General features: G+C 42.2%; 1 pseudogene, besides 1 other annotated feature; it reads left to right on the forward strand.

Moving 5' to 3' along the window:
• Positions 7,467 to 7,668: a silencer, noted in NCBI's record as "fragment chr7:26311265-26311466 (GRCh37/hg19 assembly coordinates)". NCBI's record gives its function as "represses an EF-1alpha promoter that drives an FKBP-Casp9 reporter gene in an ReSE screen in K562 erythroleukemia cells {active_cell/tissue: K562}" and the evidence as "EXISTENCE:reporter gene assay evidence [ECO:0000049][PMID:32094911]".
• On the forward strand, positions 12,007 to 12,488 carry RPL23P7 (ribosomal protein L23 pseudogene 7; annotated as a pseudogene).

The following is a 26,497-nucleotide window of genomic DNA, read 5'->3' on the forward strand; positions in this document are numbered from 1 at the left end:
TTAGAAAGTTTATTTTGCCAAGGTTGAGGATGCGCCTGTGACACAGCCTCAGGAGGTCCTGACGACATGTGCCCAGGGTGGTTGGCGTGCAGCTTGTTTTATACATTTTTGGGAGACATGAGTCATCAATCAAGTACATTTAAGAAATACATTGGTTTGGTCCAGAAAGGCAGGACAACTCAAAGTAGGGTGGGGGGGCTTCCAGGCTATAGGTGAATTTCAACATTTTCTGGTTGACAATTAGTTGAGTTTGTGTAAAGACCCGGGATCAATGGACAATAGACCTGGGATCAACAGAAATAAATGTTTGGGTTACGATAAGAAGTTGTGGAGACGGAAGTTTTATCATGCAGATGAAGCTTTTAGGTAGCAGGCTTCAGAGAGAACAGGCTGTAAAATGCTTCTTGTCAGACTGAAAGTCTGTGTTGATGTTAATGGTGGAGAGGTATAATAAGGCATGTCCAACCCCCACTTCCCTTCATGGCCTGAACCAGTCCTTCATGTTACACTTTAACAGCCCTGGCTGAGGAGCAAGTTCGTTTAGATGGTTGGGGGGCATTAGAATTTTATTTTGGGGGCCAGGCGCGGTGGCTCACGCCTGTAATCCCAGCACTTTGGGAGGCCGAGGCGGGCGGATCACGAGGTCAGGAGATCCAGACCATCCTGGCTAGCACGGTGAAACCCCGTCTCTACTAAAAAAATACAAAATATTAGCCGGGCGTGGTGGCGGGCACCTGTAGTCCCAGCTACTGAGGAGGCTGAGGCAGGAGAATGGCATGAACCCGGGAGGCGGAGCTTGCAGTGAGCCAAGATCGTGCCACTGCACTCCAGCCTGGGTGACAGAGCAAGACTCTGTCTCAAAAAAAAAAAAAGAATTTTATTTTTGGTTTACGCTTTGATGGCTTTTCTTACACAGAAATAATTGTGGAGAAAAAATAACAAGCCATTTCAATATTGATTTAAAAACAAGTAGGTATGAATGCTTTAAAAACAAGTAGGTTTTGTTACACAGCTGAAGTACATTAATTTCTGTACAGGAAACATACTCCAGGGCAGCTCATGACTGGCTTCGTTTGATTCACACTAACTTCCAAGAAAAGTGAATCACAGACGGTGAGACTGTCCAGATGAGCCACGGGAACAGGACAGACTGTAATTCACTTTGTCTTATTGTTGCCTCACACAATTAAATGCTACTTGGTATTGATTACAAAGGAATGGAATGTTTCGTTTTTGTTGTTATTATTGCTGTTTTTGTTTTTGAGACAGGGTCTCCCTTTATCACGCAGATTGGAATGCAGTGGTGTGAACATGGCTCACTGCAGCCTTGAGCCCCCTCGTTGGCCCAAGTGATACTCCCACCCCTCCCACCTCAGTCTCCTGAGTAGTTGGGATTACAAGCACACGACACCACACCCAACTAATTTTTGTATTTTTTGTAGAGATAGGGTTTCGCCATGTAGCCCAGACAGGTCTCTGTGAGGGTTAAAGAAAGAGGAAAGAAATGTGAAAAGCAGCTCAACAGTCAAAGACAGGTTTATTTTGGAGGATAAACCTGAGAGGGGTTTCTGGCTGATTTCAGTCCAGAGCACTCTCTCTTACAGACTAAGAGTATTTAAGGGTTTTAGGGCGAGAGAGCTTATTACAGGCTTGGAATGTTTCTGTGTGGAGGAGTTTATTGTGGGATTGGAATGTCTCTGGTCGGAGGGGAGGTTATCTCAGGGCTGGCATGTCTCTGGTTGGGGAGGGGTTTATCTTTGGTTGGAATGTTTCTGGTCAGAGATGTCATTTGTGGTTTATGCTCATGCTGGCATTAGCTATTAGGCTGATACCATTTGGATTTAGGCAGTTTTTGATCAAGGGGAACTTTAAAATGGCAGTGCTTATCCAAAATGGCAATGCTCCTGCTCAGTCACTCTCAAACTCCTGGGCTCAAGTGATCCATCTGCCTCAGCCTCCCAGAGTGCTGGGATTGCAGGTGTAAGCCACCACACCTAGCCTAGGAATGGAATGTTTCTATTGTTAATTTCATTGTCAACTGGAAACTGAAACAGTCTCTCTTGATAGTAATATTTAAAAACATTTCAGAAGCAAGGTATAATCTCTTTAGGGCTTCACCAAGGTGTACCTGGGGAAGAAAAGAAGAGATACCTCTATCTGAATATTTGAAGCAAAGATACGGGCTGTTTTCTTCTCCTAATATTTGTCTTTTTCTTTGCAAGTTTCCTTTTGCTTTATGAAATAGATATTACAGGGGAGATCTACATATCCTCTTTCTCTTCTCCACACAATTTTGTTATTTTGTTAGGGATTTATTTCTACAGAAAAAAAGTTGGAGCCAGGTGTGGTGGCTCACACTTGTAATCCCAACACTTTGGGAGGCTGAGGCAGGCAGATCACTTGAGCCCAGGAGTTGGAAATCAGCCTGGGCAACATGGTGAAACTCTGTCTCTACAAAAAATATGAAAATTAGCTGGATGTGGTGGCATGTGCCTGTAGTCCCAGCTACTAGTGAGGCTGAGGTGGGAGAATTGATTGAGCCCAGGAGGTCAAGGCTTCAGTGAGCTGTGATTGGGCCACTGCACTCCAGCCTGGGCAACAGGGCAAGACCCTGTCTTAAAAAAAAAGAAAGAACAAGAAAAAAAGTTGCCCTTAGGATTAGCCAATAGGGGCATTTTTAGCAAGGTTTTTTTTTTTTTGTTTTTTGAGATGGAGTCTCACTCTGTTGCCCAGGCTGGAGTGCAGTCGGCTCACTGCAAGCTCCGCCTCCCCGGTTCAGGCCATTCTCCTGCCTCAGCCTCCCGAGTAGCTGGGACTGCAGGCGCCCACCACCACACCCGCTAAGTTTTTGTATTTTTAGTAGAGACAGGGTTTCACTGTGTTAGCCAGGATGGTCTCGATCTCCTGACCTCGTGATCTGCCCGCCTTGGCCTCCCAAAGTGCTGGGATTACAGGCGTGAGCCACCACACTGGCCCAGTTTTTTTCAAGAATGTTCTTTTCAGTTTGCTTTCTGCTTGCTTTCCTTCCCCTCTCATCCTTATGACTTTATTGAGGACCTAGAGCCTGTGTTCGGGTCCATATCTGGAACTTCTGGAGTCTACAGGCAGCACAGTTCCTGCCTTCAGGAAGCCCATAGTCTGATGAGGAAGATGGATATCAGCTTTGCAGTGGTGTTGGGATTTAGGGGATCTTTTCAGACTTACTTTTCAAAAAGTTTTTCTCTTTCCTTTCTGATATCATGATGCCTACCCTGAACATTTCTTGTCCTCTTCTGTTTTATGGGCTACCAGAGAGTCCAGAATTGCAGTAAATAAGAGGAAAAGAGGTCTAACTATGAGTTTTAAGGGTTTTCCTACATGTGAAGTGTTGGGTTTTAGTAATGGGTTTTAGTGTGGGGTCTTATAATAATCATGACTATGAACTTTGTCGCAGACAGTCATACTGGCCGGAATCCTCTAGGTGAGCAGGAGCGTAATTCTTTTTTTTTTTTAATCTTATCTAAAAATGTGTAACATTTTATTCTCCAATGATGTCAAACAAATGGGTTATTGCAGGGTAAAGTAACATATAACAAGGAATGCCTATATTTTCCTCTATTAAATATTTTGTACTTTGGCCACTTGCATGGCAGGGGTATTGAAGGATTAAGTAAGATGATAACAAGAATGTCTGGGACATGGGGCACCAATTTATGGCAGCTATTATCAGAACTGATGCATTTTCTCAGCAACACCTGCTCTCACTGTGGGCCAGACCAGTGGCTACCTGAAGAATCCTCTGAAGCTGGGCGCGGTGGCTGACGCCTGTAATCCCAACACTCTGGGAGGCTGAGGTGGGAGGATTGCTTGAGCCTAGGTTTTTGAGGTCAGTTTGGGCAACGTAGTGAGACCCCGTCTCTACCAAAAAAAAAAAAGATACAAATTTAGCTGGGCGTAGTGGCACACACCTGTGGTCCCAGCTACTTGGGAGGCTGAGGTAGGAGGATTGCGTGAGCCCAGGAATTTGAGGCTGCAGTGAGCTATGATTGTACCACTGCCCTCCAACCTGGGCAAAAAAGCGAGACCCTGTCTCTAAATAATTAAATAAATAAATGGAATCCTTTGAGAGGAACTTGTTGCTTCCAGTTTTCAGATTTTTATGGTTCCTGCTTTACCAGATTTCTGGGTTCATTTGTTTTTCTGTTTGTTTGCAGAGACTGGGTCTGGCTCTGTCCCCAGGCTGGAGTGCAGTGGCCATCAGAGCTTACTTCAGCCTCAAACTCCTGGGCTCAAACGATCCTTCTGTCTCAGCCTCCTGAGTAGCTGGGACTACAGGCACGCAACACCACACTTGGCTAATTTTTAAAATATTTTGTAGGGACAGAGTCTCACTATGGTGCCCATGCTGGCAGATTTCTGGTTTTTATCCTTTGAATATACATGCTACACAAATTCAACTAATGTCATTGTGAAAAACATGGGAAGAAAAGCTTTGCACCTGATAATATCTCTATGCATTTGCCTTTTCTAGACATTTTATATAGATGGAATCATATAATATGTGGTCTTTGTGACTGACTTCTTTCATTTAGCATAATGTTTTAAAGGTTTGTTCATGTTTTAACACATTTAGTACTTAAGTCTCCTGTATTGTTGAATAATATTCCATTGTATAGATATACCACATATTGTTTATTTGTTCATCAGCTGATGGACATTTGGGTTGTTTTTACTTTTTGGCTATTACAAATAATACTGCTGTGAACAAGTTTTTATGTAGACATATGTTTTTATTTCTCTTTGGTGTATACCCAAGGGGTCATATGGTAACTCTAAGTTTACCCTTTTGAGGAACTGCCAGACTACGCCATTTTACATTCCCGCCAGCAGTGTAGGAAACTTCCAGTTTCTTCACCTAACCAATATTTGTTATTATGTGTCATTTTAATTTCAGCCACGCTATTGGGTGTGAAGTGGCTCTTTGTGGCTTTTTGCATTTCCCTAATAACTACTTTTGCATATCTTTTCATACGTTTATTGGCCATTTTTATACAGGCATACATTGGAGATATTGGAGGTTTGGTTTTAGACCACTGCAATAAAGCTAATATCACTATAAGTGAGTCACACAATTTTTTTGGTTTCCCAGTACAGATAGAAGTTATGTTTATATAATACTGCAGTCTATTAAGTGTGCAAATGGCATTATGTCTAAGAAAACAATGTGTATACCTTAATTTTAAAATGCTTTATTGGCTGGACATGGTGGCTCATGCCTGTAATCCCAGCACTTTGGGAGGCTGAGGCAGGCATATCACTTGAGGTCAGGAGTTCGAGACCAGCCTGGCCAACATGGTGAAATCCCATCTCTACTAAAAATACAAAAAATTAGCTGGGTGTGGTGGCACGTGCCTGTAGTCCCAGCTACTCGGGAGGCTGAGGCAGGAGAATCGCTTGAACCCAGGAGGCGGAGGTTGCAGTGAGCCACGATCATGCCACTGTACTCCAGCCTGGGCAACAGAGCGAGACTCCATCTCAAAAATAAATAAATAAATAGATAATAAAAATTAGCCAGGCGTGGTGGCATGCACCTGTAGTCCTAGCTACTTTGGAGGCTGAGGCAAGAAAATTGCTTGAACCCGGGAGGCAGAGGTTCCAGTGAGCTGAGATCACACCACGGCACTCCAGCCTGGGCGACAGAGCAAGACTCCATCTCAAATAAATAAATAAATAAATAAGTAAATATATACATAAAATGCTTTATGGCCTAAAATGCTAATAATGATCACCTGAGACTTCAGTGAGTCTTAATTTTATTGCTGGTGGAGGGTCTTGCCTTGATGTTGAAGGCTGCTGACTGATCAGGGTGATGGTTGCTAAAGGCTGGGTGGCTGTGGAAATTTCTTAAAATAAGACAACAGTGAAGTTCACCACATTGACTCTTTTATGAAAGATTTATCTGTAGCATGCAATGCTGTGTGTTAGCATATTACCACAATAGAATTTTTTCTTTTTTACTATATTTTAATAACTTTTTGTTCATATTTTTCTTTTAATTTTTTTTCATACCAGTTAGAAATCCTCAAGAAGGAAGAATTTTTTTTTCTTAATAGGAGTCAGTTCTTTCAAACCTTGCCACTGCTTTATCATGTTGATGGAATATTCTAAATCCTTTGTTGTCATTTCAGCAATATTCACAGCACCTTCACCAGGAGTACATTCCTGGTTTCTCAAAACACCACTTTCTTTGCTCATCCATAAGAAGGAACTGCACATCCATTCAAGTTTGATCATGAGATTGCAGCAATTCAATCACATCTCCAGACTCCATTTCTAATTCTAGTTCTCTTGCTATTTCCACCACATCTGCAGTGACTTCCTCACTGGTCTTGAGCCCTTCCAAGTCATCCATGAGCATTGGAATCAACTTATTCCAAACTCCTGTGAATGTTGTCATTTTTACTTCCTCCCACAAATGTTCTTAATGGCATCCAGAATGGTGAATCCTTTCCAGAAGGTTTTCAATGTATTTTGCCCAGATCCATCAGAGGAACCATCTACAACAGCTACAGCTTTACAAAGTGTATTTCTCTTTCTTTTCTTTTTTTTTTGAGACAGAGTGTTGCTCTGTTGCCCAGGCTAGAGTGCAGTGGCACGATCTAGGCTAACTGCAACCTCCGCCTCCCAGGTTCAAGCAATTCTCTTGCCTCAGCCTCCCAAGTAGCTGGGATTACAGGTGCGCACCACCATGCCAGGCTAATTTTTTTTTGTATTTCTAGTAGAGATGGGGTTGCACCTTGTTGGCCAGGCTGGTTTCAAGCTCCTGACCTCAAGAGATCTGCCCTCCTCGGCCTCCCAAAGTGCTAGGATTACAGGCGTGAGCCACTGTGCCTGGCCAGTATTTCTTTCTCTTTTTCTTTTTTTTGAGACAGTTTCACTCTTGTCACCCAGGCCGGGGTGCAATGGCACAATCTTGGCTCACTGCAACCTCCACCTCCTGGGTTCAAGCGATTCTCCTGCCTCAGCCTTCTGAGTAGCTGGTATTAGAAGCGCCCACCACCATGCCTGGCTAATTTTTGTATTTTTAGTAGAGACAGGGTTTCACCATGTTGGCCAGGCTGGTCTCGATCTCCTGACCTCAGGTAATCTACCCTCCTCGGCCTCCTAAAGTGCTGGAATTACAGGTGTGAGCCACCATGCCCGGCCAGTATTTCTTAAATAATAAGACTTGAAATTCAGAATGACTCGTTGATCCATGGGCTGCAGAATGGATGTTGGGTTCATAAACATAAGACATTAATCTCCTTGTACAGTTCCTGTCAGGCCTCTGAGCCCAAGCTAAGCCATCATATCCCCTGTGACCTGCACATATATATCCAGATCACCGGAAGCAACTGAAGATCCACAAAAGAAGTGAAAGTAGCCTTAACTGATGACATTCCACCATTGTAATTTGTTTCTGCCCCACCCTAACTGATCAATGTACTTTGTAATCTCCTCCACCCTTAAGAAGGTTCTTTGTAATTCTCCCCACCCTTGAGAATGTACTTTGTGAGATCCACCCCCTGCCCGCAAAACATTGCTCCTAACTCCACCGCCTATCCCAAAACCTATAAGAACTAACGATAGGCTGGGCGCGGTGGCTCACGCCTGTAATCCCAGCACTTTGGGAGGCCGAGGCGGGCGGATCACGAGCTCAGGAGATCGAGACCATCCTGGCTAACATGATGAAACCCTGTCTCTACTAAAAATACAAAAAATTAGCTGGGGGAGGTGGCGGGCACCTGTAGTCCCAGCTACTCGGGAGGCTGAGGCAGGAGAATGGCCTGAAGCCGGGAGGCAGAGCTTGCAGTGAGCGGAGACCGAGCCACGCACTCCTGCCTGGGCGACAGAGCGAGACTCTGTCTCAAAAAAAAAAAAAAAAGAATACAAAAATTAGCTGGACGTGGTGGCAGGCACCTGTAATCCCAGCTACTTGGGAGGCTGAGGCAGGAGAATCGCTTGAACCCGGGAAGTGGAGGTTGCAGTGAGCTGAGATCCCGCCACTGCACTCCAGCCTAGGCAAGAGAGTGAGACTCTGTTTCCAAAAAAAAAAAAAAACGTGAGTGGGATGTTGAGGCTGAAAATGCCACACACACCCTACAAGGGCATGAAAAGGTTTATTATTTATATAATGAGACTTTCTGTGGAGAGTAGGGTGGCTCCCAAGCAGGTCCAAAAATAGCTTGAGAGAGGAGTAAAAAGAGACTGGCCTGGGAGTATTAGGATATTTGGAGGTAGGGCCAGGTGAGGGTTCCATGTGTGTTTGGACTTCCTGATGGTGCCAAAGGGTGGATAACTAGCTTTTATCAGCTTGCCCAGGTGTGAGACAGAGGGGAAGAGGAAGGTGTGAGACTTAAAAGCTATCAGCAGCCAAACATGAAGAAAAGACTATACGTGACCTGTTATTACAGTATGTCACCCAAAGATGACAATTTTTTTGATCCCAGCTAGTTGCAGCTGATATTGAGGTTTCAACGTGGCATATTTTTATACAGACAAAATATCAAACGATTACATTTGAATTTCCTTTTTTTAAAAAGGACTGAGTCATATACACAAAAGACATTCTCACTATATCCCACCCAATTCCCAAGTCTTGTTCCATCCTACGTTATTTTCCTTTTGACCAGTTTCAAAAAGGTGCTCCCACTGCTGCCCCTAGTAATAATAAATGAATAATAATGATGATGACTCCATAACCCACAGTAGGGTATCATCAATTGCATCTCTGGATCAGAGGCCAGGGTGGCTTGGCAGCAAGCAGCTCAAGAAACTGCATACGAGATGGTGTTCAATGAGAAAAATGCACTGCGCAGTAATTAATGTAACAGTCGCATCTAGTTGGGATGGCAGAAAATTTGCTCATGAAGGCCATTTGTTCCACTTTGACAGAGTCAGTCAAATAAAATCATGTATTGTTGGCTCAAGCATGCTTTACAGGGCTGTAAAGTCAGTTCATTCTGGCCCAGGGAAAAGTCCACCTGCGGTGAATGAAGATCCTCATGGAAGTCATATTGCTCAAATTTTTGCTGTAGTTCATGCTGATGTAAATGTTGAGCAGGGAAATCCTTGAAGCTCCATGTGTATTTTCCAGTGATACTTGAGAGGCAGTGAAAAGAAATTTGCCAAACAGTGAAGCAATGAAAGCGTAATCTCACACGGGGAGGCCAAGACCATCGTCAGGTCCAGCAGAACCACAGACTGAACCTCAGTGGTGATTCTAGGGCGTTCTGCCTGTTTTGTATTTTATATACTCTTTGGTGTTTGGCTTCTTTCACTAAACATCATGCTTATGAGTCATCCATATTGTTGTGTACAGCAGTTGGTATAAGTTCACTCCTAGTGTTGTGTGAATATTCCACAGTTTACTTATCTCTCCTGATGTTGATGGTCATTTGCATCATTGATAGTTTGGGGATATTATGCATATTTTTGCTAGGAACATTCTTATATATGTTATTTAGAAATATATGAGTGCAGGTGCATTTCTCCTGGTTATACATCCAGAATTGCATTCACTGGCCCATAGGGGATGTGTATGTTCAACTGTAGTAAATAATACCAAATGATTTTCCAAAGTGAATTATGAGGCCGGGCACGGTGGCTCATGCCTGTAATCCCAGCACTTTGGGAGACCGAGGCAGGTGGATCACCTGAGGTCAGGAGTTCAAGACTAGCCTAGCCAACATAATGAAACCCCATTTCTACTAAAAATACAAAAAATTAGCCAGGCGTGGCGGCGGGCAGCTGTAATCCCAGCTACTCAGGAGGCTGAGACAGGAGAATTGCTTGAACCTGGGAGATGGAGGTTGCAGTGAGCCGAGATCACGCCACTGCACTCCAGCCTGGGCAGAAAGAGTGAAACTCTGTCTCAAAAACAAAACAAAACAAATAAACAAACAAAAAACCCAAAAGTGAATTATGACAGTTCTAGTTGCTCCACATCCTCAGCAAAATTTAGTATTATTAGTCTTATTTTGGTCAGTGTTTTTTGTTTGTTTTTTTTTTGTTTCTTGAGACAATTTCTTTGTCACCATGGCTGGAGTGCAGTGGTGCGAATACAGCTCACTGCTGCCTTGGCCCCCTGGGCTCAAGCAATCCTCCCACGTCAGCTTCTTGAGTAGCTGGGATCATAGGTGTGCACCACCATGCCCAGCTAATTTTTTAACTTTTTTGTAGAGAGGGGGTCTCTTCATGTTGGCCAGGCTGGTCTCAAAATCCTGGGCTTAAGTAATCTCGCTTCAGCCTCCCAAAGTGCTGAGATTATAGGTGTGAGCCACAGTGCCCGGCTGTGTTAGTGGTTTTCATGTATATTTCACTGATAACTAACAAGATTGAACATTGTTTTATATGTTTATATCTTTCTTGTTCATTTGGATATCTTATGGGAAATTCAAGACTTGGCCCATTTTTCTATTGAGTTTTCTGGCTTTTTAAAAAAATTGATTTTAAGGAGTTGTTTATATGTTCTAGATACAGGTAGTTTGTCAGATGTATATATTGAAAATATTTCTCCTACTCTTAATTTTTTCACTCTCTTATTGTGTCCTGATGAACAGAACTACTTACTTTTAATGCAGTCCAATTTATCAAATTTTCCTGATGTTTAATGCTTTGTATGCAGTTTTAAAAACTTTTTGCCTATATTCAGCAAACAGCATTCTAATTTCTCAACTAAAAGTTTTACCTTTCATATTTAGATCTATGATGTATATTGAAATGATATTTATCATGTGATATTAAAAAATGCATACGTATATATTCATAAATGTGCCCCTAACATTTATACGTCCTGGGCCAAATGTAAAATGGAGAGATGCATTTCTTTTTCTTTTCTTTTCTTTTTTTTTTTTTTGAGATGGAGTCTCAATCTGTCACCCAGGCTGGAGTGCAGTGGCACCATCTTGGCTTGCTGCAACCTCCACCTCCCGGGTTCAAGCAATTCTCCTGCCTCAGTCTCCTGAGTAGCTGGGCCTACAGTCACATGCCACCACACTGGGCTAATTTTTTGATTTTTCATAGAGACGGGGTTTTGCCATGTTTGTGAGGCTAATCTCGAACTCCTGGCCTCAAGTGACCCACCTACCTCGGCCTCCCCAAGTGCTGGGGTTATAGGCATGAGCCACTACACCTGGCATGAGAGTTGTATTTCAAATGACTAAATATTTACAAGATATAAATCAAACTGACAAACTGTGAAGTGAAATATATTCTATTCCCCTACTTTGACAGATCTACCTTCACAATGTCAAAATTGAAAAATACATTCATAGTCATGTTTTTCTGTGATTGACATTTGGAAAAATATCAAAGATTACAGAATTTCTTTATTATTGGGCATGTCTGGGTGTTCTGTTGATGGACTGGTGTTTTCACATGAGTGGTAAATTCAAAATTATTATATATTTATTCCATAAAGTTATTTTTCTTTATTTTATTTTATCTAAATCATTAATTTTGTTATCATCAAGATTTTGACATAATTTGTCTTCTATCAACAGTAAGTATCTAAAGAAAAATAAGATGTAGCTATAGTCAAATGAACAAAATTTGAATATATTTTAATCAAAAGTTCCATATGTGTTATCCAAGTTATTCATCTTCTAACACATTCAATATCACCTATCAAAATTTAAAAGCTAGGTTGAGCACGGAGTCTCACACCTGTAATCCCAGTGCTTCGGGAGGTCGAAGTGGGATGATTGCATGAGCCCAGGAGTTTGAGACCAGCCTGGCAACATGGTGATACCTTCATCTCTACAAAAAAAAAAAAAAAAAAAAAAAAAAAAAAAAATTAAATTAGTCTGGTGTGGTGGTGCATGTCTGTGGTCCCAGCTACTCAAGAGGCTGAGGTGGAAGGATTGCTTGAGCCCAGGAGGTGAAGGCTGCAGTGAACTGTGTTCGAGCTACTGCACTCCAGCCTGGGCGACAAAGCAAGACCCTGTTTCTAAAAAAAAGAAGTCAATTGCTTTTTTCCTTCTTTCTGGCATTCAAGATGTCGAAGCAAGGATGTGGTGAGTCCTCTGGTGCAAAATTCTGGATTTCCTTGGGTCTTCTGGTAGGATCCCTGATCAACAATGCTGACAATACAGGAGCCAAAAATCTGTATATCATCTCCGTGAAGAGGATCAGGGACGGCTGAACAGACTTCCCTGCCAGTGTGGGTGACATGGGGATGGCCACAGTCAAGAAAGACAAACCAGAGCTCAGAAAAAAGGTACATCCAGCAGTGGTCACTTGACAACAAAAGTCATATGGAGAAAAGACGGTGTGTTTCTTTATTTTGAAGGTAATGCAGGGGTCATAATAAAAAACAAAGACGAGATGAAGGGTTCTGCCATTACAGGACCAGTAGCAAAGGAGTGTGCAGACTTGTGGCCCCGGATTGCGTTCAATACTGGCAGCATTGCATGATTGTCTGGTATATTTGTAAAAAAAAATCCTAAAACCCATTAAAAAGTATTTGTCCTCTGCCCCCTCAAAAATAAATAAATAAATAAATAAATTTAATTAAAACATTAAGCAGAGGTGTGTTTCTTGACAAAAAATTAAAAAGCAAAAATAAATCTTATTTAATAGACTTTTTTCCTTTCTTTTTTTTTCTTTTTTTTTTTGTGAGACGGAGTCTTGCTCTGTTGCCTCGGCTGGAGTGCAGTGGTGTGATCTCGGCTCGCTGCAACATCTGCCTCCTGGATTCAAGCGATTCTCCTGCCTCAGCCTCCCGAGTAGCTGGGATTAGAGGCACCCGCCATCATGCCTGGCTAATTTTTGTAGAGACGGGGTTTCATCATGTTGGCCAGGCTGGTCTTGAACTCCTTACCTCAGGTGATCCACCAGCCTCAGCCTCCCAAAGTGCTGGGATTACAGGAGTGACCCACCACGCCCAGCCAGATTTCTTTTTTCTTTTCTTTTTTCTTTTTTTTTTTTTGAGACCAAGTTTTGCTCTTGCAGCCCAGGCTGGAGTGCAGTGGTGAGATCCCGGCTCATTGCAACCTCTGCCTCCCAGGTTCAAGCGATTCTCCTGTCTCAGCCTCCCGAGTAGCTGGAACTACAAGCGCACACCACCAACCCGGCTAATTTTTTTGTATTTTTAGTAGAGATGGGGTTTCATCATGTTGACCAGGCCAGTCTCAAACTACTGGCTTCAGGTGATCTGCGCACCTCGGCCTCCCAAAGTGCTGGGATTACAGGCAAGAGCCACCGAGCCCAGCCTAAACATCAAATATTGAAAATAAATTATTTAGGGCCGGGCACAGTGGCTCACGCCTTTAACTACTGATACACTGTTGTGTGTTCAAACTGTGTTCACATAAGGCAAACGCCAAGCTGTAACCAATTCAGCTGTTTCTTTTTCTTTTTTTTTTGAGGCAGGGTCTCACTGTCGCCCAGGCTGGAGTGCAGTGGCGCAATCTCGGCTCATTGCAAGCTCCGCCTCCCAGGTTCACGCCATTCTCCTGCCTCAGCCTCCCGAGCCGCTGGGACTATCAGGCGCCCGCCACCACGCCCAGCTAATTTTTTTTGTATGTTTAGTGGAGACGGGGTTTCACCGTGTTAGCCAGGATGGTCTCGATCTGCTGACCTCGTGATCTGCCCGCCTTGGCCTCCCAAAGTGCTGGGATTACAGGCGTGAGCCACCACGCCCGGCCAATTCAGCTGTTTCTGTACAATTGCTTGAACCTGGGAGGTGGAGGTTGCAGTGAGCTGGGATCGCACCACTGCACTCCAGCCTGGGTGAGAAGGGCAAAACTCTTGAGTCACTGCTCCAGCTACTCCTACCCTGTCTCAAAAAATTTTTTTGTGTCTCAAAAAAAAAAAAAAAAAGAAGTACAGAGTCCTCAGGCCATGTTTAGTTTGCTTTAACAATATAGAAATCAGGCCAGGCGCGGTGACTCACACCTGTAATCCCAGCACTTTGGGAGGCCGAGACGGGCGGATCACGAGGTCAGGAGACCGAGACCATCCTGGCTAACACGGTGAAACCCCATCTCTACTAAAAAATACAAAAAATTAGCCGGGCGCGGTGGCGGGTGCCTGTAGTCCCAGCTACTCGGGGGGAGGGGGGGAGGCGGGGCGCTGAGGCAGGAGAATGGTGCGAACCCGGGAGGCAGAGCTTGCAGTGAGCCGAGATCGCGCTACTGCAGTCCGGACTGGGTGAAAGAGCGAGACTCCGTCTCAAAAAAACAAAAACAAAAACCAAACAATATAAAAATCAGTATTACATTTCACTGGCGTTATGTCTAAAGTCACACACGTAGAAATTTAATGGTAATTTGAATTGCTTAATATTGCAAAAGTACTGTAAATTGCTGCAACTACTTTACGAATTCTTCCTGCCTCCAAAACATGATTTGAAACAGGAAGGGAAGAAAATGGAAACCTGGTACTGAGAAATACTTTATTATGCAAGAATATACTGCATTCCTCCTATTCGAAAGGAAGGACCTGAGAGGTAACTTTTCTTGTTTAGTACCCAGTTGCTGCTGCTCAAATCCTCCCTGCACTTGGAAGCAGTGAGTCTCTGATTTTGTCAGTGACATAACCCACAATTTAACCCACGAACCTCACCTCTCCAAAACGTAGGTGCTTTTGTACATGGAAATGTTACAAAATAAATTTTAACACATTGAAAGCTAGTGTTTATCCATGTGGTCAAATTGACTTATTTTGTATAGACCTCAGAATAAAACTTGATCTCAGTCTCAAGGAATGTCCTCTAAGGCCACAGACTGTGTGCAAGTTGTGCCATCAGCAACCCTAGGGGTCACTATTCACAGGGTAGTATATTTGATATTTTTAAATGATAATTTTCCAGCAGATGGCAGTAAATTGTCTGGAAGAAAGGTAACCTTTAAAAAATTCTCACAAAGGTATTATATAGGCTAGCTGCTATGTTGGATCATTCCTCTCCCCAGAGGTAATCTCTTATAAAAGTTTGAATTTGTCCTTCTAGACCATATATTCACATACATAAATATATGTACATAGAAAAATAGAAATTTTATTATTTTAAAACTTTTTGAGAGGCTTTGGCAGGAAGATCACGAGGCCAGGAGGTCGAGACCAGCCAGGGCAATGTAGTGAGATGCCACTGTCTCTACCAAAAAAAAAAAAAATTAAAAACAAAAAACAATAAGTAAATAAATAACTGAAAAAAAACTTTTAAAATATAAACAGTAGTGAGGCAGAATAGGGTCTGGAGGCAGGGAACCTAAGGCCGATTCATACTGACTTCCTAGAACTAAATCAAAAGGAAAACCCCAACTTTCAACACCTAAGTATCAAAATGACCAAACGCTACTCCCTTTGCAAACCACCCCTGTCCCCCACTTTCTGCTTGGCAGATGGAAAACTGAAAGTACCTCTGATTGGTTGCTTTGAGCAACCAATCAGATGTTTGCATAGGAGTGTAACTTTGTAATTTCACTTTAGCCTCTGATTGGTTGCTTTCTGCAACCAATCAGCCCGATCGTGGGCCACTACTTTATTTGCATGAGGTATCCACCAAATGGCCAATGGAAAACCTCTAGAGGATGTTTGGACCCCAGAAGATCCTGCAATCAGGGCCCTTGAGTCACTGCTCCAGGTACTCCTACCCTGTGGAGTGTACTTTCATTTCCAATAAATCTCTGCTTTCCTTGCTTAATTCTTTCCTTGCTTTGCTTTGCATTTTGTCTAATTCTCTGTTCAAAACGCCAAGAACCTGACAATTTGCAGTCAAGACCCTGCACCTTTAACAAGTAGCGCACTATATTTTCTATCTTGCCTTTCTCAGTATGCCTTAAAGATCTTTCAATGTAACCATATGTAACCCTGGAACTAGACCAATCTGGTTCAACTTTGTCAGCAACAAAATGTAACAAAATGATGAGTTGTTTCTCAGCTCCTAAGGACACCCAGGTTGCAAGTCACCTAACCTGAGTATGGCCAGAAGAATCAAGCAGGCCCAGGTCCTGACCTCAGAGCCAGCTGGAATGAAAAAACCAACCACAGGCAGAATCTAAGTGCTTTGGATCAAGCAACAGAGACCACATTAAAAAGCAAGGGTTGCCCTGTTTTGTTGGAGTATGGACTTTTCTAAAAGTTGAGGACCCAACATGACCCCATTGCATGATCTCATCAGATCACTGCTTCTTTGCATGAACCTAATCAGGTCACACCTTTATCTCATCTTCCTATATCCTCCATTGTTCCCCTTTGCCCATAAAACCTGCCCCAGACCCCTGCTTGAGAGACAGATTTGAGAATTGCCTCCTGTCTCCTTGCCAGTCAAGTTGCAATGAAGCTTTTTCTTTTCTCAAAAGTCAATGCCATATCGGCTTCTATGTGTGTTGAGCAGCTAGCCCTTGCTAATTTTAAAATCTGATGTATGATATTCCACACTATGAATATACTATGGATTATTTAAACATTTCTGTATTGGTGAACATTTAACTTGCTTCCAGTTTTTTGCTGTTACCAACCATGCTGCAGTGTCTACCCTTGTACATATCTTCTCAGGCACATGCGTGAGGGCTTCTGTAGGAGAGATACTAAGAGGTAGTATTGCCGGGCCATAAGGCACATATGAGTTTAGTTTTGATAGTGAGGTAGGAGGTGGGACTCAACTCTGGAGGAAGGGCTTGGACACCAGACCAAATTGAGGACTAGCTTAAACAGGGCCAGGGTGGAAGCAGCTTTCCATAAGACATACCCACCGGTGTGCCATTGCAGTTTACCGTTGCTATGGCAACATTCAGAAGTTACCTTCCCTTTCCATAGCAATGACTCGATGACCTGGAAGTTACCATGCTTTTCCTAGAAATTTCTGCATCAACTCCCCCTTAATTTGCATGTAATTAAAAGTGGGTATAACTATGCCTGCTGAACTACCTCTGAGCTGCTATTCTGTACACACAGCCTATGGGGTAGCCCTGCTCCACAGTTGCGGTTGTACACTGCTGCTTCAATAAAAGTTGCTGTTTAACACTACCAGCTCACCCTTGAATTCTTTCCTGGGTGAAGCTAAGAACCCTCCCACGCTAAGCCGCGATTTTGGGGCTTGCCTGTCCTTTCAATAGGACATTGCTAAATTGCTCTCTAGAATTGCTTTTCCAGGTTGGGCGCAGTGGCTCACATCTGAAATCCCAGCACTTTGGGAGGCTGAGGCAGGCAGATCACCTGAGGTCAGGTGTTCAAGACCAGCCTGGCCTACATGGCAAATCCCTGTCTTTACTAAAAATACAAAAATTAGCTGGGCATGGTGGCCTATGCCTGTAATCCCAGCTACTTGGGTGGCTGAGGCAGGAGAATCGCTTGAACCTGGAAGGTGGAGCTTGCAGTGAGCCGAGATCGCGCCACTGCACTCCAGCCTGGGTGCAGAGCGAGACTTTGTCTCAAAAATAAAATAATAATAAATAAATTTTAAAAATTGCTTTTCCAATTTATACTCTCACGAGCAAAGCATGAAACTACCTGTTGTCAATATATGATATTCTCAATGCAAAAATTTTTTGACTTGGCTGGGTGTGGTGGATCATGCCTGTAATGCCAGTGCTTTGGGAGGCTGAAGTGGGAGGATTGCTTGAAGCCAGGGGTTCGAGACCAGCCTGGGCAATATAGTGAGACCCTATCTCTATAAAAAAAAAACAATAAAAATTAAAAAAATTTTTTGGGCTGGAGTCAGTGGCTCACACTGTAATATTGGCATTTTGGAAGGCTGAAGTGAGTAGATTGCTTGAGCCCAGGAGTTTGAGATCAGCCTGTGCAACATGGTAAAACCCCATCTCTATGAAAAATCCAAAAAATTAGCCAAGTGTAGTGGTGTGCACCTGTAGTTCCAGCTACCCAGGAGACACATGGAAGAGTCACCTGAACCTGGGAGGTTGAGGTTGCAGTGAGCCATCATCACACCACTGCACTACAGCCTGGGCAACAGAGACAGAGTGAGACCCTGTCTCAAATATTTTTTTTACTAAACTGTTGGGAAATGGATTCTCCTTTTATGTTTATTAGTTATTGGTACTTCCTCTTTTGTGAGCTGTCTGTTTCTATTGAATGGGTTAAGAATATGACACCCCTGGCTGGGCGTGGTGGCTCATGCAAATCCAAGCACTTTGGGAGGCCGAGGCCGGAGGATCATTTGAACTCAGGAGTTCAAGACCAGCCTGGGCAACATGGCAAGACCCTATCTCTACAAAAAAAAAAGGCTGGGCATGATGGCACACGCCTTCAATCCCAGCACTTTGGGAGGCCAAGGCAGGATGATCACCTGAGGTCAGGAGTTCAAGACCAGCCTGGCCAACCTGGTGAAACCCCATCTCTACTAAAAATACAAAAATTAGCCAGGTGTGGTGGTGGGCACCTGTAATCCCAGCTACTCCGGAGGCTGAGCCAGGAGAATTGCTTGAACCTGGGAGGGGGAGGTTGCAGTGAACTGAGATTGCACCATTGCACTCCAGCCTTGGCAACAGATCAAGACTCTGTCTCAAAACAAAACAAACAAACAAAAATTATCCGGGCATGGTGGTTTGTGCCTGTAGTCCCAGCAACTTGGGAGGCTAAGGTGGGAGGATCACTTGAGCCTGGGAGGTCAAGGTTGCAGTGAGCCATAATTGTGCCACTGCACTCTAGTCTGAGTGACAGAGAAAGACCCTGTCTCAAAGAAAAAAAAAAAAGAATACGACCTTCATTCAGTTTCTTAAAAGCAGGAGATGAAATTCTCATGTGAAAGATGCAGCATTTTTTTGGGAGGCTGAGGTGAGAGGATTGTTTGAGTCCAGCCTGGGGAACATAGCAAGATCTTGTCTCTAAACAAACAAACAAACAAACAAACGAAACCCCCCAAAACCCCCACAGCATTCTTTTTTTTTTTTTTTTTGAGACAGAGTCTCCCTCTGTCACCCAGGCTGGAGGGCAGTGGCGCGATCTCGGCTCACTGCAAGCTCCGCCTCCCAGGTTCACGCCATTCTCCTGCCTCAGCCTCCCAAGTAGCTGGGACTACAGGTGTGCACCACCACACCTGGCTAATTTTTCTTTGTATTTTTTAGTAGAGACGAGGTTTCACCGTGTTAGCCAGGATGGTCTTGATCTCCTGACCTCATGATCCTCCTGCCTCGGCTGGGACCTCCCAAAGTGCTGGGACCACAGGCATGAGCCACTGCACCTGGCCACCCCCGCAGCATTCTTATCAAGGATAGAAAGTTGAGACTGAGAAACTTCTGTACAGACCTTGTTAAAATAACTTTAACTGCTTCTGGGTCTTCATTTCCTTATGGGGGCTCCCATGCCATGTAAAACTTGTATTAAATAAACTTGCATGCTTTCATCCTGTTAATCTGTCTTACGTCAATTTAATTCTCCAGCCCAGCCTAAAAGAGGACAGAGGTGGAGTTTTGCTGCCCCTACAATACCTTCAGTGCTTGTCTCTTTGTGTATATAGATATATATATTTGTGTATATAAATAAAATATTTATAAATATTTATTTATGTACTATACTCTATTTTCTGTATAAATATATAGAAAATATATAAATATATCTTATAAATATATACATACATATATTTATATATCTTATAAATATATACATACACATATTTGTATATCTTATAAATATATACATACGCATATTTGTATATCTTATAAATATATACATACATATATTTGTATATCTTATAAATATATACATACATATATTTGTATATCTTATAAATATATACATACATATATTTGTGTATCTTATAAATCTATACATACATATATTTGTGTATCTTATAAATCTATACATACATATATTTGTGTATCTTATAAATCTATACATACATATATTTGTGTATCTTATAAATCTATACATACATATATTTGTGTATCTTATAAATCTATACATACATATATTTGTGTATCTTATAAATATATACATACATATATTTGTGTATCTTATAAATATATACATACATATATTTGTGTATCTTATAAATCTATACATACATATATTTGTGTATCTTATAAATATATACATACATATATTTGTGTATCATAAATATATACATACATATATTTGTATATCTTATAAATATATACATACATATATTTGTATATCTTATAAATATATACATACATATATTTATATATTATATATAGTGTATATAGAGAAATATATAGTATATATATAAATATATATATATTGTCTGTGTGTGTGTGTGTGTATATATATATATATATATATATATTTTTTTTTTTTTTTGACAGGGTCTTACTCTGTCACCCAGGCTGGAGTGCAGTGGCATGATAACAGCTCACTGCAGCTTCCACCTCCTGGGTTCAAGCAGTCCTCTCAACTCAGCCTGCTGAGAAGCTAGGACCACAGGTGTGCACCACTGTGCTTGGCTATTTTTTTTTTTAATTTATTTTTTGCAGAGATAAGGTCTCACTATGTTGCCCAAGCTAGGCTTGAATTCCTGGGTTCAGGCCTCTGGCCTTGGCCTCCCAACATACTGGAATTACAGGCATGAGTCACCGCGCCTGGCCTGTTTATACATTGTTGAATGCACTCTACGTAACATTTGAATGGTTCAAAAGGATATACATTAAAAAGCAATCTTCCTCTCATGTTTGCCCTTACCTCCTTATTTCTCCTCACCAAAGTTCATCCTTTCAGAGGAATTTCATACATATACATAGGTTGGTTGTTAAAAAAAAAACTTAGTCCTATGTATGTCCATTCACAGAAAATTGTATAAATGAGTATAAGTATACTTTCTTCTGCAAAAGTTGTCATAAAGAGATTTGGATATTATGCAACCATTTATTTAGGAAAGATGAGCTGTGCACTAAAAACAACGACATCAAAATCATGTTTATGAAGCTCTTTCCTACTCTGCTGCAGTCCTGGACTTAGTAATTTCTATCTATTATTTCGTAATGACAACCCTGTTGGATAGGTACTATTTCACAGATAAGAAAACTGAGGCTTAGAGACATGAAGTGACTTGCCTAAAGAATTTGGGGATTAGACAGAAGCTTTTCAGCGCTGGAGCCTGAGCCTTAACCACCGTACTCTACTACCTCCACATGGTTATAGACTATAATGCACCCAATATCCAGAACTAGTACCACGTGTACAGGTACTAAAGGCTATATGCAGAGCACTAAAGAAAACCAAACCCACCCAAGACAAAAAAAACCCAGCTTCTCCATGCAAGAAGATGGCTTCTCTACTGGTCTCTTGTTCTTTGGTTGAGTGTTGGTGCCAATTATACCATACTGCAATTTATATCAAAAGCTTAGAAATTAGATGATTGGGAATGGGTTTATGTTTGATATGCTCAGTAATGGCTAAGGTTTGTTTTGTTTTTGTCAGTTTTAATCAACCAATTTATTTTTAGTTTATAATAATAAAATAAAATTCACCATTGAAACCAATGCTTTTAAAATGCAGCTTTTTTTTTTCTTTTTTCTTTTCTTCTTTTTTTTTTTGAGACAGAGTGTCACTATGTCATCCAGGCTGAAATGCAGTGGCTGATCTCAGCTCACTGCAACCTCTGCCTCCCAGGTTCAAGTGAGTCTCTTCCCTCAGCTGCCCCAGTAGCTGGGACTACAAGTGTGCGCCACCACGCCTGGCTAATTTTTGTAGTTTTTAGTAAAGATGGGGTTTCACCATGTTGGCCAGGCTGGTCTTGAACTCCTGACCTCAAGTGATCTGCCCGCCTCGGCCTCCCAAAGTGCTGGGATTACAGGCATGAGCCACCACGTTAGGCCTTAAAATGTAGCTTTTGATAATGCAAGGGCTTTTTTGTTTTTGTTTTCTCTTTCCCAGGAATGAAGTTACTTTGGTAGAGCAGAATGAGCAGGACATCACTGCAGAGCATCCCTTGGTGGTCCTGGGGAATATTGGGCAAGGTGCCTACCTCTGCTTGGGTGTGTGCTCCTGTCAGTCGTGTAAAGCCAAATGAACATGTAGCAAGTCGTGTGGTGATAATTCCCATTATAGACACTTTAGCATTTACAGTGAGGATTGGTCTTCTTACTTGCAACTTCTGTAAGTGATAAAATGTGAGGATGTGAGATGCCCTTAGTGCTTCAACTTTGAAACAAAAATTTCAACTACTCCTTTTTCATATGTCTGAATTGTTACCATTTGCAAATATTTCTCTGAGTAGATTGGAATCTTGTTAATATTGAGCAATCAAATAGAGGGAAAAAAATGGGATGTTGAAACTGATAGGAGAGTCCAACGATCTTTCACAAATCCCTGATTTCAAATCTTGGTGTTCAACAAAACAGTTTCCAATGGTCATTGATTTCTCTATAATTAGCAAATGCTACAAAATTGAATTCATCAGATAAACGTATAGTAATGGAATTGTGTTTTTCTTTGTTTTATAAATGGGGTTCATTTGAAGAAAGGGTTCTGATGCTAAAGGCGTTCGAAAAACCAGTAAATTGGATCACTGTAGAGAGGCTACTGTAGGATTCTGAGAGTTGAGAGTGTCTGCAGGAGAATAGAACACAGAAGGTGAGTTCCACCATGATCTGGCCAAGACGAAATGTATGGATCTTGGACCTGAGTGGATCAAAGGAAGGGATTGGGTCAAAGGAAGTGCCAAAGTTAGCGTGTTTGGGGTGTTAACTGGGAGAACAGTAGTCCACTAACAAGAATAAGGAGGTGGGTGGATGGATGAGAAGTTAAACCCTTTCGTCTTACAAACAGGTAAGGTCACTCAAAACGTTTTTCTAGTCTTTTTTGGAGAGGCGTGCATAGGTTAAATATTTTGAAAAACTATATAAGATTGATATTCAAGAGTGGTTATTTTATTCACCATTAATCTATATTTCATTCTTTTGAAGAAACAGTAATTATAATCACAAGATCAGAAATCAAAATCCAAATTGTCATTTGTTTAGATTTTTTCTTACATCCCATTATTAGTTGCTTGATGAAAGATAAAAACTATCTTCCCTACATTGCAAATATTTCCTGTGACAGGTTTCCCAAGAAGGCAGAACCATTCATGTAAATGTAAAGGCAAAGTGTTTTTGAACACAATGTTATGTATATTATCAGTTAATTAAAATTTCTGAACATCAAGTCCAGGCAACTTCCATTTTTACTCTCTGTGGATTTTGCAATTTTCCCAAGAGATGGAGGAAGGACAGGGGGTGGAGGTGGCTTTCCTTAGTGTATGTAACTAAGTGCACTTAGCTTCGAGACAGGAGAGATTGGAGAAAAGGATCAAGTTATAATAATAGCTACAATTTACTGAACACTTACTGTTGACCCAGCACAAGAGCTTTACCCGGGTTATTTCATTTAAACTCCACAACAGCCCTATGAAGCTGGTGTAGTAGTACATCTACCACAAATACAAGAAAGCAAAATGTTCCTCAAATGCTCCCGTTACAGCCCTAAATACAAAGAACCGAGAAGATAGTCCATAAGACACAGAATAAAATATCTTTCCCCAGCATAAGGACATTATACCAAGAGAGGCAGAAATGATTATATATATATTTTTTCTTTTTTTTTGAGATGGAGTCTCGCTCTGTTGCCCAGGCTGGAGTGCAGTGGCGCAATCTCGGCTCACTGCAACTTCCCCCTCTAGGTTCAAGCAATTCTTCTGCCTCAGCCTCCCGAGTAGCTGGGATTACAGGTATGTGCCACCATGCCTGGTTAATTTTTTGTATTTGTAGTAGAGATGGGTTTTCACCATGTTGGCCAGGTTGGTCTTGGGACTCCTGACCTCGGGTGATCTGCCCGCCTTGGCCTCCCAAAGTGCTAGGATTACAGGCGTGAGCCACCATGCCTGGCCTGGTCATAATTGTTTATGTGGTTTGTGTGTGTGTGTACGCCTCCAAGAGTAGTTCTTGTGAACAGAAAATATTGTTTTGATGCTATTTTTAGAATATTTGATTTGTTAAAGTTACAAGTTTAAGAGTATAATTATTCCTTAGTTTTTAAAGTTTTCCTAACTCTGTGGAAAAAATTTTTCTTCTGCTCTCACTCCGTAGTCAACATGGAAGGCTTCTGTGACCAAAGGTGTGGAGGTTTCTCCCCACACACCAAGCAACCAGTTAATTCTGCAGCTGTCACCAGCTGGGTGTTCTCCACCACAGTTCAATTCCTCTTTTTTTTTTTTTTGAGATGGAGTCTCACTGTTGCCCAGGCTGGAGTGCAGTGGCACAATCTTGGCTCACTGCCACCTCTGCCTCCCGAGTAGCTGGGATTACAGGCATGGGCCACCACGCCCAGCTAATTTTGTATTTTAAGTAGAGACGGGGTTTCACCATGTTGGCCAGATTGGTCTCGAACCCTTGACCTCAAGTGATCCAACCTCCTTGGCCTCCCAAAGTGCTGGGATCACAGACATGAACCACTGCGCCCGTCCCCGGTTCAATTCTGACACCACCTACCTGGAGACAGTGTCAGATCCAACAGGTTGAGGGCTCAATCCCACAAGATTGCCTCCTCCCACTTCTGATGACAATTGCAAGCTCCGCTCAGGCGGTTTTACCTGTGTTTCTGACTGATCAGCTATAAATTGGGGATCCCATGACCCCCTCCTTAGGTTCAAATAATTTGCTAGAGTGGCTCACAGAACTGTGGGAAACAGATACATTTATCAGAAAGATGGTACAAAGGATACAGATGAAGTGATGCATAGAGCGAGGCATGGGGGAAGGGGCATGGAGCTTCCATGCCCTTCTCAGGTGGACCACCCTCCATACACCTGTAAATGTTCAGCTATCCTGAAGCTCTCTGAACCCTGTCCTCTTGTGTGTTTATGGAGGCTTCATTATGTAGGCATGATTGATTAAACCATTGTTCATTGGTGATCAACTCAATCTTCAGCCCTTCCCCACCCCACAGAAATTGCGGAATGGGGCTGGAAGTACTGACCCTCTAATCAGGGTGTGGTCTTTCCAGTGACTAGCCCCTTCCTGAAGCTACCTAGGGGCTGCCAGCCACCAGTCAACTCATTAGCATACAAAAAAAATCACTTTGGAGATTCTAAGGATTTTAAGAATTTTATACCAGGAAATGGGGATGATGACCAAATACATATTTTACAATATCACACGTGATCTTATTCCATTTATAACTCTAGCAAACTTTAACAACCAAAAAGGCATTTGATTAATGTTTGATCCCATTAACTTAATCACCTCTAAACATTTTAAACTTCATTCGTGAATTTAATATATTTGTTTCCCTTGTAAAGGTCTTTAATTGTCTGATTAACAAGTAACTCAACATCTAATAAATTAAATTTATAAATGTGGTAAATCTTAAATTGTAGTGAGTGTTCCAACACTTTATTAAGTTAATAAGACTATCTTCAACTCATTAGTATCCAGCTATTAAATTACACATTTTAAAACTTAAAGTACAAGGCAAATGGTTACTCCAGTAGGCCAAGTTGTCTTACACATTAACATGCACATAGAATTCCAAATGTGCCCAGATTCCTTAAAACAAAATATTAATATTTCAGGCTTGAATCTTTCACACATCTCATACTCAATTTTCAGTCTTCTCAGGGTTAAAATGCTCATCTATTAAGAATTTTGATGTTTGTTTTTAAAAGCAATGTTATGGTGATCTTCTCAGTAGGCAGAGTTTCTTTCTTTTTTTTTTGTTTGAGAGAGAGAGTCTCACTCTGTCACCCAGGCTGGAGTGCAGTAGCGGGATCCTGGCTCACTGCAACCTCTGCCTCCCAGTGCAAGTGATTCTCCTGTCTCAGCCTCCCAAGAAGCTGGGATTACAGGCACGCACCACCATATCCGGCTAATTTTTGTATTTTAGTAGAGATGGGGCTTTCACCATGTTGGCCAGGCGGGTCTCAAGCTCCTGATGATCCACCTGCCTCGGCCTCCCAAAGTGCTGGGATTACAGGCGTGAGCCACCAGCCCAGCCAGTAGGCAAGGTTTCTTAACCACCGTAGAGTCCCAGTTTTTACCCAATCCCACTGATGGTATAACAAAAATGCCACAACCTAAAAAAGGTGACCATCACTTAAGTTTCCTGGATTCAGGTTGCAAGTTACCAGTCTTTTTTTTTTTTTTTTTTTTTTTTTTGAGACGGAGTCTCGCTCTGTCGCCCAGGCTGGAGTGCAGTGGCGGGATCTCGGCTCACTGCAAGCTCCGCCTCCCGGGTTCACGCCATTCTCCTGCCTCAGCCTCCCAAGTAGCTGGGACTACAGGCGCCCGCCACTACGCCCGGCTAATTTTTTGTATTTTTAGTAGAGACGGGGTTTCACCGTTTTAGCCGGGATGGTCTCGATCTCCTGACCTCGTGATCCGCCCGCCTCGGCCTCCCAAAGTGCTGGGATTACAGGCGTGAGCCACCGCGCCCGGCCCAAGTTACCAGTCTTAATAGGGTCAAAATTCTAACAGATATTCAAATGACTTTCAGTAGACTCTCCAAGGGTTTGTTGCTGCTTTGTCTACAGCTGTAAAGTCATGCTCTTGACAATAAGTTCAGAAAGATTTTAATTTTACAG

The sequence above is a fragment of the Homo sapiens genome, chromosome 7 (assembly GCF_000001405.40).
Source record: "Homo sapiens chromosome 7, GRCh38.p14 Primary Assembly".
In the NCBI taxonomy this organism is placed as follows: Eukaryota; Metazoa; Chordata; class Mammalia; order Primates; family Hominidae; genus Homo; species Homo sapiens.